Genomic DNA, 12,640 nt, shown 5'->3' with positions numbered 1-12,640 from the left:
TTATTGCACTTATATGCATTTATGTACCAAATGTCTGAGTCTGAAAATATGTGAAGCGAATACTGATGAATTTGACGGGATGACGAGAAGAGATACTTTGCATGATTTAATGTTTTTAAATTAATTAAGACTTTTTCTGTGGCCAAGCATATTGTCTATCTTGGAGAACATTCTATATGCACTCAGAAAAAAATATATTCTTCTGTGTTACATATGTTTGTTACATCCAATTGGTCTATAATGTTTATCAAATTCTCTTTTCATTTATCAAACTTCTGTCTTATTTTTTCTATTATTGAACGTGGGATATTGAAGTCTCTTAGAGACTTCAATATCCCACGTTCAATAATTTAAAAACATTAAATCATGCAAAGTATCTCTTCTCATCACAATTGAATAAAAGTAGAAATGAAGCAAAAGAAAACTGAAAAATCCACAAATATGTGCAAATTAAACAATACACTCTTTAAAAAACAATGAGTGAAAGATAAAATCACTAAAGAAATTAGAAAATGCCTTGAGAAAAATGAAAATAAAAACACAAAATAATAAAACTTATAGATGCAGCCAAAAAAATGCTAAGAGGGAATTTTTAAATGTAAGTGCGTACATTGAAAACGAAGCAAGAATTCAAATTAACTACCTAACTTTAAGTCTTATGAAACTAAATAAGGAGAAAAAACTAAATCCAAGTCAGAAGAAGGAAATAATAAGGCTTTGAGCAGAGATAATCAAAATGGAGAATAGAAAATCAAGATAAAAAATAAGTCAATAATTTCCTTTTACAGGGCTGATTCTTAAACTGATCTCTCCTGAGTCCTAATCAGTACTATTTTCACTGCACCATAAACAAAGTGCACCAATTTCCGTGTAACCTAATTAAACCTATTAGCAAAATTTTTATTTGGCAGCTAGAACCATGACAGTAGGTCCAATTTGCAGAGCGCAGTGCAAAAGGAAAATGTAGGCCTCATCTGGGTGTTGAGCAGTCAAACTCTCCTTCCCATGGGCCTCCCTACCCCAACCCATGGCCAATGTGTGACTCCTAAGGACTGCAACCTCTGCAATTAGGCAATTGCTATGGTCACTAATTCTTTTCTCTGCCTCTCTATTGTGCTGTTGAGCACACTCAAAGTTTTGTTTAGTTTTTGTTTATTATATTTTACAGTTTGTTGTAGTTTATTTTGTGCTGGTGTAACAGAATGCTACAGACTGGGTAATTTATAAACAATATAAGTTTTTCTGGCTTACACTTCCGGAGGCTGGGAAGTCCAACATAGAGGGGCTGCATCTGGTGAGGGTCTTCTTGCTGCAGCATAACATGGCAGGAAGTATCACATGGAGAGACATCACATGTGGATGAGAGAGAACAAGAGGGAACCAAACTCACTTTTATACCAAACCCACTCTCATGGTAATGAACCCACTCCATTGATAATGGTATTAATACACTTAAGAAGGCAGAGACCTCATGATCTAATTGCTTCTTATAGGTCTCACCTCTTGACACTATTTCACTGGGTATTAACTTTTCAAAACATTAACTTTGGGGGATACATTCAAGCTATAGGACTGTTATACAATTTTTATTTGTTGCTTCTTATATCTTCTATTTTTAGGTTTAACAATTCTATTTCTTTGCTGGAACTTTGTATTTTGTCATTTGTTCGAAACACTTTGGTAAGTGCTCATTGAAGCATTTTTATTATTGCTGCTTTAGAATCTCTGTCAGATAATACTAACATCTCTTTCCTCTTGGTGATGTCAACCATTGCTTGCCCTTTTTCGTTCATTGTGCAACCTATAGCAGCCTGGATTAGAGATTTTGTATCTGTAAAATGTTGGCCATATTGGAACCCTGATGAAAAAAAGATTGTGCTGATAATTTCTCTTTATTTTTACTTTGTTTCCTCATGTTTGCTATCTTAAGCCACTATAATATATAGAACTGAAATATTTATGACATTTTAAAAATTTTCATTTTTTAAGAGACAGGATCTCACTGTCACCCATGCTGGAGTGCAGTGGCACAATCATAACCCACAGCAGCTATGAACTCCTGGGCTCAAGCAATCCTCCTCTCTTACCCTACAGAGTAGCTAGGACTACAGGTGCATGCCACCACACCTCTTATTTTTTATTTTTGTAGAGATGGAGTCTCACTATGTTGCCCAGGCTGGTCTTGAATTATTCACCTTCAAGGAATCTTTCCACCTTTGTCTCCCAAAGGGCTGGAATTACATGCATGAGCCACAACAAGTGACATTTATTTAATAGTGTTTTATGGTGCCAATTTAAAATGTTTGGAAGTTGAAAATAATATTTTATGCTTTCATTGCAGGACAGAAGTTTGTAACTTCCATTGTATGTGTGTGCATATGTATATGTATGTGTTTATGTGTGTACATATATAATCAAAATGTATATATTTACATAATATATATTGTATAATATAATGCATTTGAAACAGTTGTTTACTATATATCTACATATATAGTAAGATATCTATGTATACATAGCATTATAAATATATAGTACACTACAGTAATCTATATATATTATATATGTAAGATATATATACATGATAGAAATGTGAAAATTCAACAATGCTTTCTTATGTTGTTGCTTCTTATATGATAATAATTAACTCCAGAAATAATGTCAGAGACAAATAAATTTGAGAGACTGATGAAGAGTAAGTCCCCACCTTAGCTTATGGCCTAGGCCTATCAGCTAGACACCGATAAGAAATGATTATGAAATGATATTAGCTGGAGGATAATATATTGTTAGTCAGAAACTGAGATGTAATAAAATGGCAAGGTAGCTCTTGCCAAAAGAGAAAAAATTTTTTCTTGAGTTAAATAATTCAGTCATACCTAATAATGCCATGCTTAAACTGAATCTTACTAATAGTAAAGCAAATTAACATAATCACCTATCATTGAAAGTGTTCTTTGCAGATTATTCATGTCATCTTGCAATTATCTTTAAATGTTTATTTAAACCTTTACTTAAAAGTCAATGAGCTTACTTTGCAAGAGGCATAAATCTAATGTTTTGTATTTCGATGTTTTCCAGCCTATGCAATGTCCATCAGGCATGTATTTATGTAATATTATTTGAGATTGCGTTTAAAATTTCAAAGCACATGTTTCCTAGAAGTGGATCTTTAACATAATGACGACTATATTATCAGAAAATATTTTAATCACCATTTGTAAGAATAATATCCCCCAAAAAAGGTCAATTTTATACACAGAGAAAATAGCTATTATATTCTTTGTCCCACTATTCTCATCTTCCTCTGGCTTTTTGTCAAATAGCTGCAAGTTGTTAAAGGAGGCTAAGTTATCTCTGCCCATTGTTATCTACTCGCACAATGAGCAGTAGGACATTCCAACTTTGTAAGTGTAGAATTCAACATCTACTTTTAATGTCAAAATATTCACTTGGTTAGTACATCTAGTTGACATATGCCAGAGTGTATCACATTTTATTTTTTTTTATATTCTTGGCCAAAGATACTCATTTCTAAATAAAGAATGTCCTTAAACCACCTCAACCTATAGCTTTTCCACTGAATGTTTATTGGGTTTCTAATGTTTAATTAACTTCAGAAGGTAATGTAATAATGTGAAAGTAAAAAGGCCAATAAAACTATGGCAAAACACTTCCCTTATGCATTTATGCATTGTAATATTATAAACTAAATTTAATGTGACTTTAGAGATGTAATTTTGGCTTTTTAACAATTAGGATGACTAATGAAAAAAGGTATTGTAGAAAACGTAAAAGGGAGTAACAAAAGATTTCAGAAGAACTATATAAAACAGAATTTCAGATGTTAATGACTAAAGACTCCAATAATTAGTAATACTGACAACAGTTACTGTTTACTAGGTGCTTGATGTTAAATTACATAATTCTCACCACAAACTCATAAATTAGAAATTATTTTCCCATTTTAAATGAGGAAAAGAAACTTTATGTGGATTTTTGCCCTAGTCTAAATTTACCCATCTAATAAACTATTTTAAAACTTGTGTTATTTGCTAGTACTCTCTAACAACCTTCTTTGAAATGACTACCTTAGTTATCTACTTGAAAGCACTAATGCAGACAAGACTCAAATTTTCTTCAAGATTTGTAGCACTCTCAAACATCGGGTCCAATTGATATCTGGTATCTGCCGAGTATATTGATAAAACCAAACTGCACAGCACATTGTTCTGATAGGAAACTCTGATAGCTTTTAATAGAAACTGTAATGAGTGACATATTTCTTCACTTTTCTTGAAGTATACCCCTTAGTATTTGTTCATTGAGAAACAGCTGTCATTGATGGACAAGCCTGCATATGGATGATAGTACATGCAACAGGGCTATAAACCACAAACAATAAGGCAGATTGTGATGGTTAATGTTAGGTGTCAACTTGATTGGATTGAAGAATGCCTAGATAGCTGGTAAAGTATTGTTTCTGCGTGTGTCTGTAAAGGTGTTGCCAGAGGAGATTAACATTGCAGTAGGTGGACTGGGAAAGGAAGCAAAATATGGGTGGGCACCATCCAATCCGCTGCCAGAGCAGCTAGAACAAAGCTAGAGGAAGAAGGTGGGATAAACTGACTTGAGTCTTCTGGCTTTCGTCTGTCTCCTGTGCCGGATGCTTTCTTCTGTTCCTCCTGCTCTTGAACATCAGACTCCACGTTCTTCGGCCTTTGGACTCACACCAGTGTTTTGCCAGGGGCTCTCAGGCCTTCGGCCACAGACTGAAGACTGACTGCAGTCGGCTGCCCTGCTTTTGAGGCTTTTGGTCTCTGACTGAGCCACTACTGGCTTCTTTCTTCCTCAGGTTGCAGACAGCCTATCGTGGGAATTCGCTTTGTGTTACTGTGAGCCAATTCTCCTTAATAAACTCCCTTTCATATATACATATATCCTATTAGTTCTGTCCCTCTGGAGAACCCCAATACACAGATTAATTAGAAAAATTAAATCACTGGTAGTTGGTTACATTATGGGCTATTTCCTTTATTCTCATATTATTTATGATTACTGTCAAGTGCATAGTGTCTCAGAGACCTAAAAATGTATAGTTATATAAACTAGACATAAAATATTAATCTGGTACAAGAGAAATAGACTATTAACACTTGAATATCAATTCTTAAGAAAATTAATGAAAATATAATGATAGTATAATTAATGCATGTGTGTGTATCTGATTTTTAAAAATATGTTGCCAATATTCTTTTCCTGTAACAGGTCATTTATGGACATTTCAACATAGCTATAAAGTATATAAAGGGAGTTAATGATGGTGGTAAAATTTAATAAAAAAATTTTAAGAAATTTATATTTACCTGATTAAGATTAGATTAAAATCTGTTAAGATTTTATGAAGACTTCAACAAAGATACTGGCCAGGCACGGTGGCTCACACCTGTAATCCCAGCACTTTGGGAGTCTGAGGCAGGAGGACTGCTTGAGGCCAGGATTTCAAGACCCAGCGTGGGCAACATAGGGAGATTCCGTCTCTACAAATAATCAAAAATTAACTAGGTGTACTGGTCCCTGCCCATGGTTCCAGCTACTCAGGCTAAGGTGGGAGGATCAATTGAGCCTGGGAGGTCCAGGCTGCAGTGAAATATGATCACAACACTGCACTCCAGCTTGGGCAAGAGAACAAGATCCTGTCTAAAAAAATAATGTAAATAAAAAATAAAAGATAAATGCCATGTTAATGTTGACGGTTCAATCTCTGATTTTCTGTGGATAATGTTATTCATTGTTTCTTATTTAAAATCTTTTGTTTCCATTTCAAAGTAGCCATATCCTTCCCTAAACAAGTAAAGAGATTTGAAACAAAATAATTCCTGGATTAGTAATTTTACTTCTAAGAGCCTATTATTTGAAAATTGCCTGAAAACATCATAAACACACACACACACACACACACACACACACACACATTTTTATCACAAAATGGCTTATGATAATCAAAAATGGAAAAAAATAAACTGTACCCCAAAATAGGCAAAATGCATACATACAAGTCATCAATTAGATGAGATGTTATGCAGTCACTTACAACCGCATATACAAAGAATTTGCAACATCATGAAAAATAATCAGAAATAATATTAAATGATTAAGAGTATATTTCATGTATAGTGAGTGTAATCAGAGCTACAAATATATATAACACTAATAAAATACACTAAATATTATTTATATTTCGAAAAACTCAAGATTTTAAAATACTATGTTTTAATGTGAATGGACACAAAACTTTTCACTAATATTTTTGTCATTCCTAGCTTAAAGTATATGCGTGTTAAAATTGTCAATGTAAAAAAACCCTTTAGGTCGTGAATGACTCTAATCCAAATATGCCAAAGCTTATCTTCATATTGAACCTTATAGCTTCTAGTGAGTAATACTTACTTTCCTCTAATATCGTAACTTTTTAGTAGTTTATTAAGGTTACCTCTATTATGTAAAACATCATAATTGTTCCATTTTATAAATTGCTCATCAGATTATCATTAATAATCTGACATATATCAAGTAACCTTGAAACATGTGATTTCATAATTCTCTAACTTATAAATGAATATTAATAAAACACATGTATAATGTATACTTCTATAATATATAAATTTTTACAAACCTTTAGCTAGACACATATGTAATGTAATATATATAATATAATATTATATTACATAATACATAATATATAATATATAATATATATTGCTTTGTGGCCCAGGCTGGAGTGCAGTGTCAGGATCTCGGCTCACTGCAACCTTGGCCTCCTGGGCTCAAGCAATTCTCATGCTTCAGCCTTCCGAATAGCTGGGAATATAGGCGTGCACCACCACACCTGGCTAACTTTTGTATTTTTAGTACAGATGGGGTTTTGCCATGATGGCCAGGCTGGTCAATATGAGCTCCTAGTCTCAAGTGATCCCACCTCAGCCTCCAAAAGTGCTCGGATTACAGGCATCAGCCACTGTGCCTGACCATACATATTTTTAAATACAGATTTGGAATGAAAAAATATATTTTTTTTTCTCTGTAAACAAAGTCACAAAGTATCCCAGCGTGTCCAGAATTGGTGGGTTCTTGGTCTTGTGGACTTCAAGAATGAAGCTGCAGACCCTCACGGCGAATGTTACAGTTCTTAAAGATGGTATGTCCGGAGTTTGTTCCTTCTGATGTTCAGACGTGTCCGTAGTTTCTTTCTACTGGTGGATGTGTGGTCTCACTGGCCTCAGGAGTGAAGCTGCAGACCTTCGTGGTGAGTGTTACAGTTCATAAAGGTGGCGCCTCCGGAGTTGTTCGTTCCTCCCGTCTGGAGTTGTTCCTCCCTCCTGGTGGGTTCCTAGTCTCGCTGGCTTTAGGAGTGAAGCTTCAGACCTTCGTGGTGAGTGTTACAGCTCTCAAAGGCGGCACGGACCCAAAGAGTCAACAGCAGCAACATTTAGCAGGAAGAGCAAAGGAACTAAGCTTCCACAGCATGGAAGGTTGCCGTTGCTGGCTGAGGTGGCCTGCTTTTATTCCTTTATCTGGCCCCACCCACATCCTGCTGATTGGTCCATTTTACAGAGAGCTGATTGGTCCGATTTGAGAGAATGCTGATTGTTGTGTTTACAAACCTTCAGCTAGACACAGAGTGCTGATTGGTGCGTTTACAATCCTTTGGCTAGAGGAAAAGTTTTCCAAGTCCCCACCCATCCCAGAAGCCCAGCTGGCTTCACCTCTCACTGGCAGTCACCCGTGGGCACTCCGGCAGCCCAGAAGGAGCTCATTCCCTGATCAAACCCAGCAGGTGCTGGCAGGCCATGCCCACCCGGAACCCAAGCCAACCCGCGAGTGCTGCACTCAGCCCCAGCTCCCACCTGCGCCTCCCCCTCCACACCTCCCCGCAAGCAGAGGGAGCCGGCTCTGGCCTCGCCAGTCCCAGAGAGGAGCCCCCACAGTGCAGTGGCAGGCTGAAGGGCTCCTTGAGTGTGGCCAGAGCAGAGGCTGAGGCCAAGGAGCTTCCGAGAGCAAGCGAAGGCTGCTAGCACGTTGTCACCTCTCACCAGGCTATTCAAATAAAACTTCTGCAATATATACTAATGGTAGACTGGAGTCAGCGTGATCTATGCTCAAATATAGGCTCTGCTACTTACTATTTGTGGGATTATGAGCATATGAAAATAGATAATATAGTCAAGCTCTCGTTTGCTATTTATAATTAAATAAAATATTGCATATGAATTGCCTATATATTAAAATTCAGTAAGGCAGCAATCGATGAAGTATATCATCATCCTCATCATCATCATCAATACTATGTTCAGATTTGGTTTGTTACTTACAATTCGACACCTTTAACTTAGAACTAAGAGAAGATGCAAATTAAATATCCAAAGAGGAGATACATATCACTACATGCCCTGAAGTCAGCAAAAGTATAGTAAAATAATACTATGAAAGTCTCTATATACATAAATTTGACAAACTAAATAATATTGACCCATCTTAAAAAAACAAACTGTCACAACTCGCCCAATATAAAATAAATAATTTGAATAGCCCCATCATATTAAGTATACTGAATTTGTAATTTCAAATACTCCCACAAAAGAACCTCCAGACCAAGATGGTTTCATTAGAGAATTCTATCAAATTTCTGAAGAATTAATACCAATTCTCCATAATCTATTTCATAAACTGAAACATTACAGAATATTTTCTAATTCATTTTATGAAGCAAGCATTATCCTAATACCAGAACCAGACAAAGACAGTACATAGAAAGAAAACTATCTCTCGTGGATATGCACACAAACTCATCCACACCCAGACACAAGTTTCAGAAAACCTTTACTGCATTCGTAACAGTATGGTTATCACCTTGATATTTTCTATATTGTTATTGCCAGTTGTATTTGAATTTTTACCTGTTATTTTAGGTTTGGGTGTACATATGAATGTTTGTTACATAGGTAAGCACATGTCATGTGGGTTTGTTGTACACATTATTTCATCACCCAGGTATTAAACCCAGTACCCAATAGTTGTCTTTTCTGCTCCTCTTTCTCCTTCCTCCCTACCTCCTCAAGTAGACCCCAGTGTCTGTTGTTTCCTTCTTTGTGCTGATAAGTTCCCAGAATGTCTATCATTAAAAAGTAAAGGCCAGGCACAGTGGCTCACACCTGCAATCCCAGCACCTTGGGAGGCCGAGGCGTGCAGATCACCTGAGGTCGGGAGTTTGAGACCAGCCTGACCAACATGGAGAAACCCCATCTCTACTAAAAATACAAAATAGCTGGGCATGGTGGCACATGCCTGTAATCCCAGCTACTTGGGAGGCTGAGGCATGAGAATTTCTTGAACCTGGGAGGCAGAGGTTGTGGTGAGCAGAGATTGCACCATTGCACTCCAGCCTGGGCAACAAGAGCGAAACTCCATCTAAAAAAAAAAAAAAAAGAAGTAAAACAAGCAAACACAAAAACAATGAATTCTGGTGAGGTTGTAGAGAAAATAAACACTTATAAACTGACGGTAGAAATGTAAACTAGTTCAGCCACTGTGAAAAGCAGTTAGGGGATTTCTCAAACAACTTAAAACAGAACTAACATTTGACCCAGCAATCCCACTACTTGGTATATATGCAAAGGAAAATAAATCATTCTACCAAAGAGACACATGCATGCATATATGTTAATCACAGCACTATTCACAATAGCAAAGACATGGAATCAACCTAGATACCTGTAATGATGGACTGATTAAAAAAATGTGGTACATATGCACCATGGAATACTACGCAGCCATCAAAAAAGGTTAGTCATGTCCTTTGCAGCAACAGGATCTACCTGTAGACCATAATCCTAAGTGAAGTAACGCAGAAACATAAAACAAAATGCCCCTGCCTCAGCCTCCTGAGCAGCTGGGACTACAGGTGTGCACCACCACGCCCGGCTAATTTTTTGTATATTAGTAGATACGGGGTTTCATAATGTAAAATGCTTTTATGTACACTTAAAAAGAAGAAAAGAAAAATAATAATAGACATTCTGTCTGGTGTGAGGATCTCATTGTGGTTTTAGTGTGCATTTCTCTACTGATTAGTGATGATGAACATTATTTCATAAATTTGTTGACCACATATATGTCTTCTTTGGAGAAGCGTCTGTTTGTCTTTTGCCCATTTTTAATAAAGATATTTCTTTTTTGTTCCTGAATTATTTAAGTTTCTTATAGATTCTGGATATTAGACCTTTCTTAGATGCATAGCTTATGAATATTTTCTCCCATTATTTAGGTTGTCTGTTTAATCTGTTGATAGTCTCCTTTGTTGGGCAAAACCTCTTTAATTAGGTCCTACTTGTCAAATTTTGTTTTGGTTGTAATTGCTTTTGAGGACTTAATCAGAATTTCTTTGCCAAAATTGATATTCAGAATGGTATTTCCTAGATTTTCTCCTGGGTTTTGTTTTAGGTCTTACATTTAAGTTTTTTAACCCATCTTGAATTAATCTTTGCATATGGTGAATGGAAAGGGTTTAGAGTCAGTCTTCTGCATATGACTAGCCAGTTATCCCAGCACAATTTATTGACTATGGAGCCTTTTGCCCATCATGTATTGTTGCCAAATTTGCTGAAGATCAGGTGGTTGGTAGATGAATAGCTTCATTTCTGGGTTCTGTAACCTGTTCCAATGGTCTATGTGTCTATATGTTGTATCAGTATCATGATGTTTCGGTTATTGTAGCCTTGTAGCATAGTTTGCAGTTTGGTAGTGTGATTCTTCTGTCTGTTCTTTTTCCTTAGGACTGCTTTGGCTATTTGCACTTTTTTTGGGGGGCGGGGGTTCCATATGAAGTTTATCATAGATTTTTCCAATACTGTGAAGAATGATGTTGGTACTTGGACAGGAATAACTTTGGATCTGTAAATTGCTTTCGGTGGTATGGCCATTTAAGCAATATTGATGCTTCCTATTCATGAGCATGTAATATTATTTTTCCATTTGTTTGTGTCATATCAGATTTCCTTCAGCAGTGTTTTGCAATTCTTATTGTAGATATATTTCACCCCCTTGGTAAGCTATATTCTTAGTTATGTTGCTCTTTTTCTTTTTTATTGTACAGTTTCTCCCAACAAGAGGTATAATCTATTTTCCCTTCTTTTGACTCTGAACCTGCATTGTGACTTGCTTTGACCAATCAAATGCAGGATAAGTAACTATGTACCACTTCTGAGCCTGAGCTTTAAGTTTCCTAGGCTTCTATTTGTTCCCTGAAAACTTGTCCAGTTGCCTTGTGAACAAGCCTGTGCATAAGGCTGCTGGAGGATGAGAGACAACATAGAGCAAAGATATACTGTTCCAGCTCAGTTTCCTAAACCATCCAGCCCCCAGTCAACCCAACAGCTGGCCATGATGCCAAGGATGAACCCACATGGAACCAGCCAACTCAGAATAGTTTGCTTTTTCAACTAGCACAATAATTAATTAAAATTGTTGTTATTTTAAGCCATATAGCATTGGAGTACATTGTTACACAGAAGAAAAACCTAACTGATACACTACAAAAAAAATTAAGTATTCCTATGTGTAGTTATCCCTGTTCATGTATCTCAATAGATTTACAGTACAATGACCTCGGTTATACCAAAACTTGTTCCATATGCTTATAAGCCAAGTCTTTTTGTCTAGAGGGATACCTGTTGTTAGGGGGATCTCTAAATGCTGCTGCTGTTAATGTTTGTCCTAAGAAACATTCAGGCTAAAGGCAAACTGGTAGTAATAGAGATTAATGTGGGATATCTGGTAGTGAAAGTGTCCCCTTATTGTACATTGAAGAAGCTTTAGCTAGGGCGTAAACAAACAACTGTAAAAGTAAATATTGTTTGTGTGTAAACCTTACCAAAATAAATAGAAAGGAGTAAACACATCTGTTAAACTTATCACTTAGCATTAAATAGCTACAAAGAGAAGTTATTTGACAAAATTCAACTGCCTTTTTTGAGTTCAAATTGATTTTTGAACCCAGTTAAAGTATCGTTTTAAGGTATTGCTTAGGTATATATCACAGAAAAGAAATTATGGGGACTTACCTTCATGAGAAGCAAGACAGATTTTAGACTTTAATGTCAAATTATGATTTTAACAAAAATTAAGTTGAAGAACACTTGACAATATTTCTTTTCCACCTAATTATTATATTTTCTTCAAATAAATTAGGCCTAGAAAGCATAATATAATAGATGCAAAATATTTCTCATAGGAAAACATAAGTTGGTCTTCAAAACTGAAATAAGTATCAAAAAAGGTATTTATGCTTTCATAGTCACATAAAACTTTAGCCAAAAAGAGTAATAGTGCTTAAATAAAACCCAAAATAATTTGAAGATATTAGGTGCCCTGATTGATAACACTTTGAGAGAGCCATACTCTATCTGGTTTCTGATATTAGGTTATGACGGCTTTCAGAAGATCCACTGATTATAAAAAGAATTAAAACTAATGAAAATGAAAATGATGGTGGAATCATTTGATTTAGAATAGTAACACATTTTCAGACACTAAAGGCAATATAATTACATTAGAGGTTTTAAAAAAGACACAACATTCATTA

At 35.8% G+C, this 12,640-nt stretch overlaps 1 long non-coding RNA gene across 2 annotated transcripts in view; it reads right to left on the bottom strand.

The window, feature by feature from the left end:
• The window catches only part of LOC102724150 (uncharacterized), a 52,126-nt gene that overhangs the window by 30,208 nt on the left and 9,278 nt on the right, over nucleotides 1-12,640 (bottom strand). The window contains exon 2 of one of the 2 annotated variants that reach the window (XR_001755912.1): nucleotides 1,252-1,309. This is a non-coding gene — a long non-coding RNA (uncharacterized LOC102724150). Of the gene's footprint in view, nucleotides 1-1,251; nucleotides 1,468-12,640 lie in introns of those variants that run through there. The other variant, XR_938461.2, reaches the window with a different exon arrangement.

This window comes from Homo sapiens, chromosome X, assembly GCF_000001405.40.
Source record: "Homo sapiens chromosome X, GRCh38.p14 Primary Assembly".
NCBI classification, from domain to species: Eukaryota; Metazoa; Chordata; class Mammalia; order Primates; family Hominidae; genus Homo; species Homo sapiens.
This window is presented reverse-complemented; position numbering and strand designations above follow the sequence as displayed.